The 18,677-nt window shown below is 49.5% G+C and overlaps 6 annotated features.

The window, feature by feature from the left end:
• Positions 1,860–2,154: a silencer, noted in NCBI's record as "tiled region #537; K562 Repressive non-DNase unmatched - State 21:Repr". NCBI's record gives its function as "represses a minimal TATA promoter and a strong SV40 promoter by Sharpr-MPRA in K562 cells {active_cell/tissue: K562}" and the evidence as "EXISTENCE:reporter gene assay evidence [ECO:0000049][PMID:27701403]".
• Positions 1,860–2,739: a biological region, named in NCBI's record as "Sharpr-MPRA regulatory region 537".
• Positions 1,868–2,739: an enhancer, noted in NCBI's record as "NANOG-H3K27ac-H3K4me1 hESC enhancer chr20:55379697-55380568 (GRCh37/hg19 assembly coordinates)". NCBI's record gives its function as "activates a minimal SCP1, AML or CMV promoter by ChIP-STARR-seq in naive H9 embryonic stem cells {active_cell/tissue: H9 hESC(naive)}" and the evidence as "EXISTENCE:reporter gene assay evidence [ECO:0000049][PMID:30033119]".
• Positions 3,992–4,622: an enhancer, noted in NCBI's record as "H3K4me1 hESC enhancer chr20:55381821-55382451 (GRCh37/hg19 assembly coordinates)". NCBI's record gives its function as "activates a minimal SCP1, AML or CMV promoter by ChIP-STARR-seq in naive H9 embryonic stem cells {active_cell/tissue: H9 hESC(naive)}" and the evidence as "EXISTENCE:reporter gene assay evidence [ECO:0000049][PMID:30033119]".
• Positions 4,623–5,252: an enhancer, noted in NCBI's record as "H3K4me1 hESC enhancer chr20:55382452-55383081 (GRCh37/hg19 assembly coordinates)". NCBI's record gives its function as "activates a minimal SCP1, AML or CMV promoter by ChIP-STARR-seq in naive H9 embryonic stem cells {active_cell/tissue: H9 hESC(naive)}" and the evidence as "EXISTENCE:reporter gene assay evidence [ECO:0000049][PMID:30033119]".
• Positions 5,884–6,512: an enhancer, noted in NCBI's record as "H3K4me1 hESC enhancer chr20:55383713-55384341 (GRCh37/hg19 assembly coordinates)". NCBI's record gives its function as "activates a minimal SCP1, AML or CMV promoter by ChIP-STARR-seq in naive H9 embryonic stem cells {active_cell/tissue: H9 hESC(naive)}" and the evidence as "EXISTENCE:reporter gene assay evidence [ECO:0000049][PMID:30033119]".

Raw genomic sequence — 18,677 nt, forward strand, 5'->3', positions numbered from 1 at the left:
CTATCATGTAACAAAGGCCCCTTTGTGGAGGGGGTCAAGGCTGCACCCCATCAGTGGGCTCGGGGGCTGTAGTCTCCTTGGCGACAAGTCCTTTGCCCTGACAACGTCCACCTCCCGGGGATGTTCCCCACGGCAGCTTTTTGAGTTGAGTGCTGACAACTCCGATTTGCCAGCGAAGGGGGAAAAAATCAAAAATGATTCATCCGCCTGCTCAGCGTAGTGGGAAAGGGACTGACGGGGCCTTCAGCCGCTCGGCATCTCACCGTGGCAGAGGGAAATGCTAACAGGAGCAGACAACCACGGTGGAACTGGGGGTTGGGGGCACAGGAGCAGGAGAACGGAACACGAGAGGATCTGAGAGGGGCACGCCAAGTGGGTTCAGGCAAGAGACCCCGAGAGGCTCGTTTCGCCAAAGCATCACCTTGGGAGCCCCGCACCTGCCTCGTCTGGGCCAGTGCTCCCCGAGGTTGGTGGTCCTATGAGAGCTGCCGTTCTTAGGCTGGGACTGGTAGCCCCAATGTAATTTGGTACCCAGGTGGACATTTTTATTACAAAAATGCATAGTAGTGAAAACACAACTAGCATCCAAAAATTATGCTTTCAGGTGCTATTTTTTTTTTAGTAGAAATAACGACAATCCTTACCCGGGAAGCAGTCATTATTGCTGGCCAGGCCATGTTCCAAGTGATAAGCACAAGCCTCTGTTTTTATGGATGGGCGAATGCATACAGGTCTAAGACTCCAGTGGTTGGCCGGGCATGGTGGCTCACGCCTGTAATCCCAGCACTTTGGGAGGCCGAGGTGGGCGGATCACTTGAGCTCAGGAGTTGGAGACCAGCCTGGCTAACATGGCGAAATCCCATCTCTACAAAAAATACAAAAATTAGCTGGGCCTGGTGGTGCACGCCTGTAATCTCAGCTACTTAGGAGGCTGAGACACTCGAGAATCACTTGAACCCGGGAGGTGGAGGTTGCAGTGAGCCGAGATCGCGCCACTGCACTCCAGCCTGTGTGACAGAGCAAGACTCCTTCTCAAAAAGAAAAGAAAAAAAAAGACTCTAAAGAGTCCCATGAAAAGTTACCAACATTCCCATGTTACAGATGAGAAAGCCACCGATGCCAAAGAAATTACATCAATTTCTCCACACTCATCGTCCCAGGTGTTGATTTGTTGATTTTTATAAACCAATCATAACCAGTTCAGCCTTTTTTTTTTTTTTTTTTTTTTGAGACGGAGTCTCGCTCTATCGCCCAGGCTGGAGTGCGGTGGCACGATCTCGGCTCACGGCAAACTCCGCCTCCCGGGTTCGCGCCATTCTCCTGCCTCACCCTCCTGAGTAGCTGGGACTACAGGCGCCGCCACCACGCCCGGCTGATGTTTTGTATTCTTAGTAGAGATGGGGTTTCACCGTGTTAGCCAGGACGGTCTTGATCTCCTGACCTCGTGATCCGCCCGCCTCGGCCTTCCAAGATGGTCTCGATCTCCTGACCTCGTGATCTGCCCACCTTGGCCTTCCAGGATGGTCTCGATCTCCTGACCTCATGATCCGCCCCCGCCTCGGCCTCCCAAAGTGCTGGGATTACAGGCGAGAGCCACCGCGCCCGGCCAGTTCAGCCTTCTTCTCCCTCCACACGCCATCCGGGGGGTGCTCAGTGGAGACCTGTTGACTCACAGCTCTGTCAACTCATGAGCCCCGTGTGTTTCCCGTCCTTTTTCTTGGGCCGACTGTATGACTTGGCTTATGTAAACCCGGCTCATCAAAATCGTAACAGATGTCTATCCCACAGCAAGGCTCACGTTCCCTCTTCCAGAAAAGCCTGCTTTTCTACATTTAGGAAATGGTGACGCAGGTAAAACACAGCAATTTGATCAGTCATGGTTTAGAAAGCATTTCACCTTCTGTGGGGTCAATTCCAAGGCAACAGGCAAGCTTGGGAATGTGTGCAGTCCCAGGCAAGGCGTCTGCGTGAACAGGGGAGCCCCCACCGTCAAGCTGCTGCCTTTAGCATCTCGCATTCCTAGCTCTCAGCTCCCCGCAGGACAAAAGGCTGCTTTCCTTCCCTGCCTCTGAGGTTAACAATCGGCCCATTCACACTCCCGACCTGTCTGGTAGCTGCTGGAAAACAGGTCCGTGCAACACAAGCAGGCACAATCCTCACACAAACATTTCCCCGCATTCTCGCACTGCCAATGCACTCAGCACACATCCACATACTCACACACAGACGCTTACACACATACACACACCCTTATGGTTATTGATGCACACCCAGACACACTCTCACATGCAAGCACACACTCTCATACACTTTTATACACAAACACAGTCTCACACAACACTCTCCCTCTACACACACACACACCCAGAAAATGCGAACTCACACACACACGCACACACATGCTTTCTCACACACATACACTTGCTTCTTCTGGGCCAGTGTTCCCCAAGGTTGGTGGGACTCGTGCACACACACTCTCACACACATGCTCATGCACTCACACACAGACACAGTCACACACACACACAGACACAGACACACTCTCATTCCTATGCACATGCACACACACTCCCCTCACACACTCACAGGCACACACTCCCTCCCCCCACACACTCACACACACACTCCCTCCCCCCACACTCACACACAGACACACTCACAGACACACTGCCTCCCGCACACACTCACACACAGACACATTCACAGACACACACTCCAACCCCGACACACTCACACACAGACACACTCACACACTCCGATCCCTACACACACACAGACACTCACAGATACTCCCTCCCCCACACACAGACACACTCACTCCCCCCCACAGACACACTCACAGACACACACTTCCTCCCCCTCACACACACAGACACACTCACACACACTCTGACCTCGACACACACTGAAAACCCTGGTAGGGACCAGGTGTGGATATGCAGATTTCATGGTCCAAGCTGAGGAAAACCTTGTAAATTGATGGTCAGTGAATTAATCAAAAAGCCTCTACTGGGCACCAGGCTGCAGGCTCCATGCTGGGGCCTGGGGAGCCCAAATCAGGAGAGAGGCGGTGGTGAGGCAGCTGGGCACAGACCGATGGATCAGGACCCACATCCCTCCAATCTCCAAGGACCTGGAGTCTCTTCTCAGCCTCAGTTTCCCCAGGTATAGTGACTCAATCCCCTCACTTCCTTCCTTTCTGTGGTGCCAAGGGGCTCGACACCCCTGGGCAGGGAGATGGGTGCCTTCTGATCCATGGTGAAGCCTTGCCTGGCTTGCTCTGGGAGAGGCAAGCAGGTAGCCAGCGCCTCAGAGGCACAGGGCCTTTGCAGCAGTGGCGCCACATGCCGGCAGCCTCCCCCAGGGTGAGGTGGCCTATTATACACACTGGCTCTGGGGCCAGGTGAGTGGCCTGTGTTCAAATCCTGCCTCTGCCACTTATAAGCTCAGCAGCCTTAGGCAAAATGCTGGGCCTCTCTGCAGCCGTCTTACTTGCAGGGCACGGATGATGCTGGCTCACCCGTTCCTCGGGAGAGTGAGTGAGTGAGTTCACAGAGAGCCCTGGGGACAGCGGGGGCTCAGCTCAGCACCCTGCCTCCTGCCTCAGGTTGGACCTTGTCCCTGGCTACCTCCTTCTCCCCCCAGCATGGCCCCTTATCTGGCCCTCCTTCCTCAGAGAGGCCTGCCCGGGCCACCTGGCGAGTGTAGCTTGGTCCCTGTGGCCTCATAGTACCCTCCTTTTTTTTTTTTTTTTTTTGAGACTGGCGTTGCTCTGTAGCCCAGGCTGGAGTGGAGGGGCACCACCATACTTCGCTGCAGCCTCAACCTCCCCAGGCTCAAGTGATCCTCCCACCTCGGCCTCCCGAGTCACTGGGACTGCAGGTGCACACCATCACACTCTGCTAATTTTCACATTTTTTGTAGCAATGGGATGTTGCCATGTTGCCCAGACTGGTCTCAAACTCCTGGGCTCAAGTGATTCTCCTGTTTCGGCCTCCCATAGTGCTGGGATTGCAGGGGTGAGCCACTGTGACTGGCCTCTCATAGCATCCTCTTTACCTCCTTGGCTGAGCTCGTCACAACTTACAACTTGATATTTATTCCTCTAGCCTTTTCCTTCCCCACTAGACTGTAAGGTCCGTGAGAGCAGGTCTGTCTGTTCCCCATGGTGTCTCCCCGGAGCCCAGCAGCGTGTTGGCCCACAGAAGGCACTGAGTACTTTCGTGCTGAAGAAGCTTCCAATAACCCTGACAGATGGAGAAGCAAATCCTGCTGTGTAGACCAAGAGGGGGAGGGGCTGCAGAGGCAGGGGGATTGGGGGTAAGACTGGATATTAGGAGACAGTGAGGAGAGGCAGTCACGCCCCGCCGGACAGCCGCCCACTTGCAGGGCACAGGCGGCATAAAGCAGTTTATTCAGGGAGCCCCAGGCCCACCAGGACAGCTGATCAAGGCAGGGACACGGCCAGCCACTGCGTTTTTGACACGACTTGCTGGCTCAGCCCTGGAGAACGTAATTATAAACCCCAACTCCACGAGGAGGAGGAGTTTCAGCCTCTTTTTCCCTGAGTATTTTGTGGAGCCCAAGGCCCAGGCCCGTGAGCCAACTCCCTGCAGGGTGGCTGAGCAGGCGCGGGTTTCTTTTCACCTTGCTCATTAGAGGATTAACAGTGAAGAAAAAAGCCATAAGGACAGCCACCGGGCACACACTGTCACCCGTGACCTCCTGCATCCCCCGGGGTTCTTCTTTCTGCCAGGGCAGACAGACATAGGCACCTCTCACCCTGGCTGCATGCAAATGGGCCTCAGTTTCCTGAATTGCTCACCTCAGGGGCGGTGCCAAGGGGAGATGAACATACAAATGAATGAACTAACATACTCTCTAAGTAAAAACCATGCTTCCTCTGTGAGTGGAGGCTTCAGACATGCCTAGGCTCCCCTTACATCTGGGCTTAGCCTTGAGCCCCTCCGAGGCAGAAATTCTGAAACCCCTTTGTCTCAACTTGAACTCAGGAGCCCTGTTTCTCCTCCATCCCTGTCCCTTCCTCCTACTCATTTGCCAAGTGACCTCGCAAACTCATAGAATGTCTCTGGAATAATACTTGCCCGACTGTCATCTCCTCCCTCTTACCTTCTCCACGGGATGTGAATTTCTGGTGACAAAACGTCCCTGCACCTTTAACCAAATCACTTCCAAACCTCACTGAGCCCCGACTTACTCATCTGCAAAATAAGACCGTGGCAGCGGAGCTCCCCACGCACACACCATGGCTCACAAAGACAGCGGGAATTTGGGGGAGCGCTCCTGGGGAGGTGGAGAACAGGTTAAAGGGGTGGGTGTGGTGGGATTAATTTGTTCCTCACAAGGTCTTCAGTGCTTCTGCTTTTAATTTCCTGTACCTCTTGGAAAGGGATTAACATCTTATTGCTCAAAGCAGTGACTGGGGAGAGGCGTGAGCAGGAAAGATGGTTCTAAGATGGAGTGAGTGTCTCAGGTGGGAGGGAGGCGGCTGGGGCCGAGGTGAGGCTGGGCTCTCTGGCTTTCCTGGCAGGGGAGTGCTTCCTCTTCCCTAGTTCACACCTGACCGGCCTGCTGAGCTTTCCACGGGCTGTGGGAGTGAACCCTCTAAGTTTTTTCCAGCCCTTCCTGCAGAGGTAATGTCTATCCTCGTGTGTGCCTCTAGGAGCTGCTGGATTAAAATAGTTAAATCAAGGAAGGACCCAGCCAAGCCATCCCCACCCATGGCTGGGGGCCTGTCCCAGGGCCAGCCTGCCTCCCGGGTGCTGTTTCCGGGTTTCCTGGGGAGCTTTCATCCCTGGGCACAGGGTGGTTTGTGCACAGCGAGGAGAGGAGGTGGGAGCCTGGCGGAGTCCAACCTGACCCCACTTGTTTGTTCCCTTCAGAGGCTTCTCTGCCCCTTCCCAGAGCTCCCTCTATGAAATAACTTGTTTGCTGAAAAAAAAACTTTCTTTACTCATTTTATTGCTGGTAAGTGTCCTGGTACAATAACTTATTGTGTGTTGGTCTGAAGTGAGGGTGGGGTGCGGAGAACCTTGGGAGCTCCAGCTGCCCCTTGCCCTCCCCCACTTGAACAGGTAAGACTTCCGAGATCAGAGGTGGAAGCTGGGAAGCCCTGGAGGCTCAGGAGCAAGCAGGAGCGAGTCTCCACTTGCCTTCAGCCTCTGCTTTTGAAGTGTGATTGCCTTGCAGATGGGCTCCACCCACACAACCGGCCCTTCCCTGGCAAAGGCTGGGCAACCGCTGCTCCCGCCCAGCATCCCCCAACCCACACCTCACCCCCCGCACCCCACATACACACATCTGTGCTCTGCGGATTCCCATGGAATCTTAAGGCCCTTAATAAGGAGTCCACACGCTGGGGCAAATGCACGATCTGAGCAGGTGTGTTCATCTGGGCTTCTAGTTGAAATCAAGTCTGAGGTCATTTCTGTTGGAAGAAGACTTACTCATTTATTCATTTATTAATTCATTCAACAAATATTGATTTACTGCCGACACCACATGGGCCACATGGCCATGCTGGGGATTAAGAAGAATGGGCTGGGGGTGAGCATAGCAGACACTCCTGCAGTTTGCCAGGGGAGAGAGACACGGAACAGATTCGAGAATAGGGGCAGACCAGGCACCTGCCATGTGCCAGGCACTCACCTGAGAGCTTTGCCTCTAGTATCGCATTTAATCTTCATAAGAACCTGATCCTGTAGGTTGATTGTTAGGATCCTCAATCAGGGAACCAAGGCTGACAGAGGTCAAGAGACTTGCCCGAGGTTGCTCAGCCAGTGAGGAGCAGGGCCTGGATTTGAATACGAGGTGCCTGGTTCAGAGGCCACACCTATAACCAGGACCCTGCATGCCTGTGATGAGTTCTTAATCGCCGTGAGAAGGCCAGGAGCGAACAGCAGGGTCTGCTCTGGGCGATTCTAGAAAGGGAACCTGATTCAGGCTGGAGATCAGCAAGACTGTCGGAGGAAACGCCCTTGAAGCTGCACTTGGAAAGATGGGGAAGAATCAGATGGGCCAAGAATGGAAGCATGTTCCAGGAAGAGTGAACGGCATGTGCCAAGGCCCCGAGGCAGAAGAACGTGGTATGTGGGAGGAATGCACGGAGGCTCATGTGGCTGGAGCCAGCACACAGGTCCTGTCCCTTTTGTAGCAGATGCAGTTCCCTACTCACCAATTGCTCGCCCTTCTCCCACCTAACCAACAGCACCCCGCTTCTCTCCCCCACAGCCCCGAGGGAGGGTGAGTTTCAGGAAAGGTAGGCTCCAACCCAGGTGTGGCAGAAGCTATTTTCTCCAAATGGCTATAATGATCTCTCTGGCCTCACATGCTCTTCCGGGGCCTTGCCACACTCTGTTAAGTGGCAGAGGTGATTGATTTCCCTGTCATTTGAGCCTGGGTGGATTCTGTGGCTGCTTCGGCGACTAGAATGCAGTGGAAGTGAGCCTGAATGACTCCTGAGGTCAGGTCAGAAAAGGCGATGTAGCTTTTGCTTGTCTCTGTCTCTCCCCCACCCCCTTCATCCCTGGAACCCAGCCACCATGTTGGGAGGAAGCCCAAGCCTGCCCACATGGGTAGAACACATGGAGAGGCCCATGAAGAAAAACAGGCCTCCAGCCAACAGCCGGTCTCTACCACCAGATATGGAGTGAGTGAGCCTTCGGATGATTCTAGCCCCAGCCTTTAAGACTTCTGACTGAGGCTCCAGACACCTTAAAGCAGAGACAGGCTGCTTCTGCCACCCGAATTCTTGACTCAGAATCCATTAGCATAAAAAATGTTTATGCTTCTAAGTTTGAGGATAATTTGTTACACAGCTATAGTAACTGGGTTGCTTGTCTGATAAGCCCATTCCCCTTGCCAGGGATTGGTTTGAGGGTGGGCTTGGGATTCAACTCCAGCCAATGAGAAGTGAGGGGGTGTCTACTGAGGGGACTTCTGGGGAAGATTTCCTGCTCTTGAAAGAAAAGTATTAGCCAGGCACAGTGGCTCATGCCTGTAATCCTAGTACTTTGGGAGGCTGAGGGGGGTGGACAGATCACTTGAGCCCAGAAGTACAAGAGCAGCCTGGACAACATGGCAAAACTCTGTCTCTATAAAAAATACAAAAATTAGCCATCTGTGATGGTGCATGCCTGTAGTCCCAGCTACTCAGGAGATTGAGACAGGAGGATCACGTGAGTCTGGGAGGTCGAGGCTGCAGTTAGCCAAGATTACTCCACTGAACTCCAACTTGGGTGACACAGTGAAACCCTGTCTCATTAAAAAAAAAAAAAAGGAAGGAAGAAAAAAGTTATCAAGAAGATGCAGTCCTTTACTCCCTCCAGATGAGGCTGTATGAGAAGATAATAACTGGGCAATGGCAGCCACGTTTAGACTATGAGGGGAGTAACCCAAAGATGGTGGAATACAAAAAGAGGAAGAATCTTGGTCCTTAAGTGAATAAGCCATGGATTATCCAACCTTGGGCCCACCCCACTTCAGTGAAATAATAACCCCCCTATGTTTAAAGCATTTTGAGTTTGACTTATTACTTTCTAAGTGATATATTGCCTTTCCCCTCACATCCCACCTTTCCCCTGCTCCGGCTCACCTCTGAATTTGGGGCAGGAAGGGCTTAAGAAGCTCTGGTACACAAAGAAAAAATTCCTGTTTAGTATCCTCGAAGGTCAACAGTGGGAGGGAATTGAAAGGGGATTCTGGCCAGGAGGTCTGATAGTGGAGAAAAGAGGTTAAGAAAGAAAGGGAGAAAGTCAAAGGTAAAGACCAGTGAGGGAAGAAACAGAAAAGATCATGCAGTAAAAACAAGAAAAGTAAGGACAAAAGAACAGGACAGAGATCTGGGGGGAAATAGTAAGGGCTTCAAGGCTACAAGACATACTTTGACCACCCTCTGATGCTAGAACAGTCTTCCTCACATCCTCTTATGAGGCCACACAAGACAGGGATTAAACATGCAAACTCTGGAGATAGAATTATGATTCCATTACTTTCTGTCTAGATGAACTTGGGCAAATTACTTAATTATACTCAACCTCGGAAGATTTGTAAAATAGGTATTGATTATCAAAATGCTCAGCCGGGCATGGTGGCTCATGCCTGTAATCCTAGCACTTTGGGAGGCCAAGGTGGCTGGATCACCTGAGGTCAGGAGTTTGAGACCAGCCTGGCCAAAATGACGAATCCCTGTCTCTACTAAAAATACAAAAATTAGCCGGGTGTGGTGGCGGGTGCCAATAATCCAGCTATTGAGGAAGGAGAATTGCTTGAACCCGGGGAGGCAGAGGTTGCAGTGAGCTGAGATCACACTGCTTCAGTCCAGCCTGAGTGAAAGAGCAAAACTCCGTCTCAAAAAAAAAAAGGTCACCCCAAGGGGTTGCTGAAAGGATTTTACTCAGGACTCTACTAAGCTGTCAGTACAGAAATTCAATTCAGGCTTCAGCAATATAGAAAAATATTTGACTCATATCCCTGAAAGGTCAAAGAGTATCTGGCTTCAGGCATGGCTGGATCCAGGGACTCAAATATCAGGAGTGGATCTCTATGCGTCTTTTGTCTCTTTTTCTCCCATTGCCATTACTTTCAGTCAAGCTTCCCCTCCAAGGTTGCACGCAGATGTAGCCCTATGTCCCACCTTCTCAGCAGGTTCAAAGGGCTGATACCTTTGTTCCTGGGTCTTGGGAGTGCTATGATTGCACCAATATGTGTCCTGTACCCATTCCTGCACATATTAAGTAACTAAGGGGATGGATTATGCTGATCAACCAGACCAGGGTCCTTGGTATGGAGGCTGGGCCAGCTCTACCCCAACCACGTGGGCTAAGATGGTAAATGTAGTAAATGCATGTGTGTGTGTTTGGGAGTGAGAGGGAGGTTTCCAGAAAAATTGAGTTGCTATTAAAAGAAGCAGGGATGACTACCAGACAGACACAACAGAGTTTACAATAAGTACGCTTGGCAGCTATGTTAGGACGTTCTTGCATTGCTATAAAGAAATACTTGAGACTGGGTAATTTATACAGAAAAGAGGTTTAATTGGCTTACAGTTCTGCAGGCTTTACAGGAAGCATGATGCTGGCACCTGCTTGGCTTCTGGGGAGGCCTCAGGAAGCTTCCAATCATGGCAGAAGGTGAAGGGGGAGCAGGCATGTCACATAGCAGGAGCAGGAGCAAGAGAGAGAGAGTGGGGAGGTGCCACATTTTTAAATAGCCAAATCTTGCAAGAAGTCACTCACTATTGTGAGGACAGCACTAAGAGAATGGCACTTCCCTCTCTCGTCTCCCGATTTCACACACACCATGCCATCTGCCTGATGCACTCTTTGCCTTCCCTCTTTGCCCACAGCATGGTGCATCCTTCTGATTTCAGCACAAACATTACATGCTAACGGTCCCTCCTATGTGCTCCCAAGCCCCCTGGGCTTTTCTCATTATGGACATGTCATGCCATGGTGATTACGAGGCTCCCTCTCCAGAACAAGGTTTCTCAACTTTGGCACCACTGACATTGGGGACTGCATCATTCTTTGTTGTTAGGGGGCTGTCCAGGGCACTGCACAATGTTTATTGGCATCTCTGGCCTCTACCCATTACAGGACAACAGAATTCCCCCCACCTTCAGTTGTGACAACAATAGTCATGAGAAATCCACCGCCACGAGCTAATCACCTCCCACCAGGCCCCACCTCCAGTACTGAGAATTACAAATTAACATGAGATTTGGGCAGGGACACAGATCCAAACTACATCCGAGCTAACACTTCCGCTGCTCGGGACTTCTCTAAGAGAAGCAATTTCAAGGAAGGCAAACCCTGACTCTTTTTTCTTTTTTTTAATTTAATTTAATTTAATTTAATTTAATCTAATTTAATTTTAAGTTCTGGGATACACGTGCAGGACGTGCAGGTTGGTTACATAGGTAAACATGTGCCGTGGTGGTTTGCTGCACCCATCAACCCGTCACCTAAGTATTAAGCCCCGCATGCATTAGCTATATATCCTGATGCTCTCCCTCCCTCATTCCCCCTGCAACAAGCCCCAGTGTGTGTTGTTGCCCTCCCTGTGTTCTGATTGCTAGGCTCTCACTTATAACTGAGAACATGCAGTGTTTGGTTTTCTGTTCCTGTGTTCGTTTGCTGAGGATAATGGCTTCCAGCTTCATCCATGTCCCTGCAAAGGACATAATCTTGTTTCTTTTGTGGCTGCATAGTGGTCCATGGTGTATATGTACCACATTTTCTTTCTTTTCTTTTCTTTTCTTTTTTGAGACAGAGTCTCACTCTGTTGCCCAGGCTGGAGTGCATTGGCACCATCTCGGTTCACTGCAACCTCCACCTCCCGAGTTCAAGCGATTCTTCTGCCTCAGCCTCCTGAGTAGCTGGGATTACAGGCGTGTGCCACCATGCCTGGCTACTTTTTGTATTTTTAGTAGAGACGGGGTTTCACCATGTTGGTCAGGCTGGTCTTGAATTCCTGACCTCATGATCTGCCCGTTTTGGCCTCCCAAAGTGCTGGGATTACAGGCATGAGCCACCGCGCCTAGCCCATGTACCACATTTTCTTTATCTAGTCTATCATTGATGGACATTTGGGTTGATTCTATGTCTTTGCTATTGTGAATAGTGCTGTGATGAACATACGTGTGCATTGTCTGTGTGATAGAATGATTTATATTCCTTTGGAACCCGGACTCTTGAGTGGAAAACATGTCAAGAACAAATTACTTTTTTAAAAAATCGTGGTAAAATACAAATGACATAAAACTTACCATTTTAACCATGTTTAAGTACACAGCTCAGAGGCATTAAGTACATTTGCGTTGTTGCACAACCGTCACCACCGCCCGTCTCCAGGTGTGGTCATCCAAACTATAACTCCAGGTGTTTGTCAACCCAAACTATAAGTCTGTCCCCATTAAACACTAACACCCCGCCCCCTCTTCCCCTGCGCGGCTGACGACTTCCTTTCTATCTTCTGTCCCTATCAATTTACCTGCTCTAGGAACCTCCGGAAAGTGGACTCGCCCAGTGTTTGTCCTTTTGTGTCTGCTCCTTTCACTTTAGCTTCATGTCTTCAAGGTTCATCTATGTTGCACCAAGTGTTCAAATTTTATTCCTTTTGAGACCAAATGATATTCCTTAGTAGGGATATTCTGTATTTTGTTGATCCACTGATCTGTTGATGGACATTTGGGTTCTTTCCAGGGCAGAGGCCTTTGAAGCCAAGAGAGCGCCCACTTTCATTCTTATAGGCAGCTTGACACCCCGTCAGTATTTGCCTGCCCCTCTTCCTGTCCTTTCTGGAGTGCAGTTATTCCTGCTCGGAAAGGAGCAGGAGCAAACTAGAGTAACATTGGAAGAGAGGAGGAGGAGGGGGAGGGGATTCATAATTTTTTAAAAAAAGTTTTCACCAAAGGAAACTCTTTTTGTTTTTGTTTTTTTCTTTGAGACAGAGTCTTGCTCTGTGCCCAGGCTAGAGTGCAGTGGTGCAATATCGTCTCGCTGCAACCTCTGCCTCCCAGGTTCAAGCGATTCCCCTGCCTCGGCCCCCGGAGTAGCTGGCATTACAGGTGCCTGCCACCACGCCCAGACGTGGTTTCACCATGTTGGCCAAGCTGGTCTCAAACTCCCGACCTCAGGTGATCTGCCCTCCTTGGCCTCCCAAAGTGCTGGGATTACAGGCGTGAGCCACCGCGCCCAGCCTGGAGACTCATTTTTAAGAAAAACGAAACAAAACAAAAAAAATTAGATCTGGTGGCGGTGGCCGCAAAGGAAGCACAGTTGTCAGAAGGAGAGCTGGGACTTTTCGAAGCGCTTACTGGAACTAACAGAAATGCTGGGCTTTGTTTTGTCTTTCTCGAGAACACGCACTTTTTGGAATAAAGAACTCCAAAAAAAAGCTCCAAGAGTGGTGAAAGACCTCGGAGCATGAAATTGCATTACTGGAAATGGTCTGGGGCTTTTGTTCCTGGGGCTGGGACCTCGGGAGGGTTGGTTTAGTGACAAGCCCAGCCAGTCTGCGGAGGGGCATGGAGGGGAAGGGGGGCAGGAAGGGGCCATTAGAATGGCCCTCTGGTTTCCCACCTCCTCAGAAGGACAAAGTCTCAGGGAGCTAGTCATGGTCAGATGCTGCTCAAGGGGAAATGCAGAAGCGTGGTATCACCCCTCGCCAAATGCATCAAACAGACAATAGCGGTAGCAGTGGCAGCAGTGGCAGCAGCGGCAAAACAGGCAGAACTGGTTAGAGGCTATAGGCGTGTGAGCCCTGCAGCCCACTCTGAGGTCTTTAAATAATACTGAATGACCATAACTGCCTCCAAAAGGGTCTTCTTGCCTGGTTTGCTAAGAGACAAATCTGTTCTGCTCACAAACCCTCACTTCACTTCAGAACCTTCTATGGCTCCCTATTGCCCTTGAGATTGAGTCAAGCTTCTTAACTAAGTGATCTACATGATCTGACCTCTATATATGGCTTCTTCAACCTCAGCTGTTCCATTCTTCCCCTTGCACCGCCCACTCCAGCAACACAGCCCCCTCTGCTTCCTCCAAGAAAATCAGCCCTCTCTCGTCCCCCAATTTTGCACATGCCATGCCATCTGCCTGATGCACTCTTTGCCTTCCCTCTTTGCCCACAGCATGGTGCATCCTTCTGATTTCAGCACAGACATCACATGCTAACGGTCTCTCCTATGTGCTTCCAAGCCCCCTGGCTTTTCTCATTATAAACATGTCGTGCTATGGTGATTACAAGGCTCCCTCACCGTAACAAGGTTTCTCAACCTTAGCCCCACTGACATTGGTGACTGCATCATTCTTGTCGGGGGGCTGTCCTGGGCATTGCAAAACGTTTATTGGCATCTCTGGCCTCTACCCACTAGAGGCCAATAGCATTTCCCCCACCTTCAGTTGCGACAACCACAGATGTCTCTAGGCATTTCTACATGTCCCCTAAGAGAAAAAATTGTCCCTCATTGACAACCACCACACCGGAGAAAGGTCTTATCACTGCTGTGTCCCCAATCAGCACATACTTGTTGGGTAAATGGATGAACAAACCCGCACACATTGGGTCCGTAGAGGACATTTGTCTCTCCAAAGTCTTGTTGGACCAAGTCTTGTTGGACCCACGCAGGACTGTGCTCTGTGTCGAGTGAACAGAGAAGTCATTGGTATGACCACTTCAAGGTGTTCCAAGTGGCAAAAGGGGCTCAGCGTGGGCTGGTTCTGCCAGGGTCTGTAGCTGTCATCATCTGCTTGGGTACAGTGAACCTCAGGGCTCTAGACCTGTGATATCCAAGAGTGGCCACACACCACATGGCTCCTGAACCCTTGGAATGTGGCTGGTCCAAACTGAGATGTGTTGTGAGTGTGTAACACATATCAGATGTGAAGACTGAGCACCAAAAAAAAACCCAACAACTCATTAATAGTTTTTAGTAATGATTACATGTTGAAATGGTAATATTATGCACATATTAGCTTAAATAAAATATATTATTAAAATTCTTTTCACCTGTTCCTTACTATTTTTTATTGCTTCTACTATAAAAACTTAAATTATTTCTGTGAGTCACACTTGTGAGCAACACCGCTGTGGAGGACCCTCTATTATCCAGTCTGGAACTTCACCACTCACCCAGCTGCTCCTGGTTCTCGAACTCTCGTTTACTGGGGGGAAGGGAAGAGAAGCTAACATTGAGTTCTGTTGAGGGCCCGGCACTCTGTCTACACAACCTTGACTAATCTCACTAACTCTCTTCCTACCTCTGTGAGATAGACTCCGCACTTGGTTGTGACAGAGGAGGAAACTGAGGGCCTGGAAAAAAAAGGAATTACTTCTATTTTGACATGACTCCATTTCAACTTTGTTTACAATAAGAAAAAAATTAGACATTATTGTACCACTGCACTCCAACCTGGGGGACAGAGTGAGACCCCATCTCAAAAAAAATTAGACATAGCATTATGCAGTTGGAAATCAAAGTCAGCTGCTAGGAACAGAAGCCAGAGTGAAATAATAACTTAAAAGAAACAGAAAGATATCTTCTTGTGTGAAAGAAGTCTGAAGATGAGTAGCCCAGGGCTAGGGTGGAGACTCTACACTTATCAGGGATTTCAGCACCATCTGTCTTTCTGTTCCACTGTCCCTAGTATGTAGCTTCAGAAAGATGTCACCTCATGATTCTTTATGGCTGCTGGAGTTCCAGCCATCACACCTGTATTCCAGGCAGCTAACTAGGAGGGAGGAGAAGAAGCAAGAGGACTTTTACAAAACATTTTCTGTGTTACAATGTGCTAAATATTGTGCCGGATGTTGAGAGTACGAGTGAACAAAATAGATGCTCCTGTATTTCTTTCATAGTCAGCACAAATGAACATCTTCCTTGACACCTTTCAGTCTCTCCCATCTCTTGTCTGATCCCTCAGCGAATCCTGCCAGCTCTGCTGAGACCCATGTCCAGAATCCCACCACTTGTCACCACCTCTCCCTCGCTTGCTGTTGTTCTGTCTTCAGGTCTCTGTTCCTGTCACCTCCGCAGAGAGGAGGTGACCTCTCTGGGGAGGTGACAGGAGGGAGGAGGGAAGGGAGGAAGGAGGAAGAGGGGAAGGAAGGAGGGTACCCCACCCATACACTCCTGCTGATTTTATTTTTGAGATGGGTCTCACTCTGTCCCCCAGGCTGGAGTGCAGTGGCGCCACCTATGTCTAATTTTTTTCTCATTGTAAACAAAGTTGAAATGGAGTCATGTCAAAATAGAAGTAATTCCTTTTTTATCAGGTCCTAAGTTTCCTCCTTTGTCCCAACCAAATAAGGTGTCTATCTCATAGAGGTAGGAGGAGGGTTAGTGAGATTAGTCAAGATGGTGTAGACAGAGTGTTGGGCCCTCAATAGAACTCAATAAATGTCAGTTTCTCTTCCCTTCCCCCCAGTAAACGAGAGTTCCAGAACCAGGATCACCTGGGTGAGTCGTGAAGTTACTGATTGGATAATACTGCATCCATCCTCTCCCCTGCCCCCACTCATTTCACTCATTCTCTTCCCTCTCTTCCCCCATAACACTCACCAACAAGAACGGCAGGCGTCGAGGTTGCACCTGGTATTTCCACTGCAAGGTACTCAGTTCCTAGAATTGGGCTTGCCTCAGAGCAGGCTCCCACTTACATCTGGTGAAATGAGCCACAAGCCTTTCGAGGCCCCGTCTTCATTGGTGCCATTAAACTTATGTAGTCAAAACACTCATCCTTGCTTGGTGGGAAAGCCCGCCGTATTGGCAACAGCAAACACCCTAGCCAGAGTAAACCTCAATTTATGTTTGGCTCTATTTTCTGCCTCTACCCTATGCTTGCTTTCAGATCATAAAGCTTCTTGGGAGAGGAACTTTCCCCCACTTGCCACAACGCCTACTGGAATTAACCTGATCATTCCTGTTGTGATTAATGAACAGATAGGCCATGTCTTAAGGCGAAATTGAACAATTGGCTGCCAGAGCGCTTCACATCAGGGCTTCTCAGCCTTGACACTTAGTGATATCTGGGGCTGGATCGTTCTTGGTGGTGGGGGCCATCCTGTGCACTGTGGAATGTTCAGCAGCATCCCTGATCTCCACCCACTCTATGCCAGTAACACCCTCCTGGTTGTGAAAACCAAAAATGTCTACAGACGTTGCCAGGTGTCCCCTGGGGGACAGAATCACCTGATTAAGAAGCACTGCTGTTAACAATCCCACTCTTTCAGAAAGCTGGGATATGACCTCAGGTGGAGCTAGCCAAGCATCTAGTTCCTTTCCTCCCTCTTAAATTCTTCACCTTAAATTATCAGTTGGCAACCATGAAGGAGAGCTCGTCTTCAAGAATCTACATTGAGGGTAATGTGGAGCACAAAGGAAAAAGACAATCCAAGTTCCCACTGAAGCTGTAAAACTGAGGTTTGCAGTGCCATGATGCCATTAATTTGTTCACAGGGAAGAAAAACATGACCGTGTCCCCTTTCCCCTTAATTCAACAAGTCTTGGAAATCTTATTGTAACTTTCAAGGATTTCATCATACAAATAATAAATGAACGCCAATTTCACTTGAGTTCATGTAGATGGAACACAATGGGTCCCCAGACCCTATCTGGGAATCTTTGCAGAGTTACACTGATAATTTAGAATGACTGTCCATGTCAAGGGTGAGAAAACTAAGTCTCAGAGTGACTTGCTTACGATGATGTTGGTTCTGGACTTTCTTGGGCACACATGTCACAAGCATAATGAAAAGCTTGCTTTACCAAAAGGCAATGTGTTGGCTCAGAGGACTGGAACACTTATTGTGAGGCTCAAAGAAAGGCAAAAAGAGATAAGAAAGAAGCAGAGCTGCACTTTGCTACCTGCTGCCTCCCTGTCTGTCTCTCTGTCTCTTTCTCTGATTCTCTTCCACTTGTCTTTGGAAACAGCCTGTCACCTCATGGCAGGGAGGACATCCCTCAGCCCAGATCCCTTGTGCCGTAGTGTTGGAAACAGCTTCCTACATTTCCCAGGGAAGGACTCTTACAGGCTCTGCTCGGATCACAGGCACATCTCTCACCAATACTTAGTCCACAGTATAAGCCACTTTGCTTGTTGTGGCCTGAGTTATGTGTCATGGAGGCAAGCAGGGTCTATTACCAAAATATAGAGAATAGGGGAATGGGGAAATGGGTGCTGGCAGCCAAAAACAACAGCTACTTACCTCAGAACCGAGATGAGAGTCCAGATTTGAATTCATGCTCACCATTGCCGTATTTACTGAATGTTCTGACACAAATATCTGGGAAAAAACTCACAACTTATCATTGTGAATTATTCCTGAATTGCATCCATGCCAACATCCCAACTGAAATATTATACTACAGTTTTGCAAAATACTACCTCTGGGGGGACCTGGGCAAAGTGTAAAAGAGATGGCTCTGTGTTATCTCTTACAACTGCATGTGAATCTACAATTACCTCAATAAAAATTTCCATTAAAAAAGTGGTAAAAACCCAACTTAATGTTTCTCATACTACAAGAAAAAAGCATTATTCCCAATTTGCAGATGAGGAAACTGAGGCTCAGAGAATTTAAAAAAAAAAAAAAGTGCCTTGGAAATCTTCAAGCCCGGTTCTAACTCCAGAGTGTGAGCTCTTGACCTCTGTGTTTTAAGGGCTTCCGTGAATCTCAGGTTGTCTTAGCAACCATCCCAGGGAAACATCAGCCTGGTTCTCTGGCTCCCTGTTGGCTCTGAGTACTTGGACTAGGCTAAGGGAAGAGTGGCAGGAGGCATATTGAGAGACACAGGATAGGGGCAGAGGGAAGGCTTCCTGGAGGAGGTGTTGCTACCTTACTAGCAGAAGTTGGGGCCAGGCAAGGGCACAGAGCTAAGGTCCAGAAGAGGGAGGGAATCTACCTTCAAGGAACCCAGCAGACTCTCTGTGGCTGGAGCACCCGAAGGTGAGAGGAGTGGGCAAGGACGCTGAAGGTGGAGCATGGTCCAATCCTGTAGGACCCAGTGAGGCATGCTCAGAGGTTGGAAATTTACCCAGAGGGCGACAGGGAGGCACCAAAGGGTTTGAGCTGGGGAAAAGAGTTTCTTTGTAAGTTTTGCATTTTGGAAAGGTGACACTGGCTGCAGCGTGGAGAATAAATGGGAGGAGACC

This window comes from Homo sapiens, chromosome 20 (assembly GCF_000001405.40).
Source record: "Homo sapiens chromosome 20, GRCh38.p14 Primary Assembly".
Classification (NCBI taxonomy): Eukaryota; Metazoa; Chordata; class Mammalia; order Primates; family Hominidae; genus Homo; species Homo sapiens.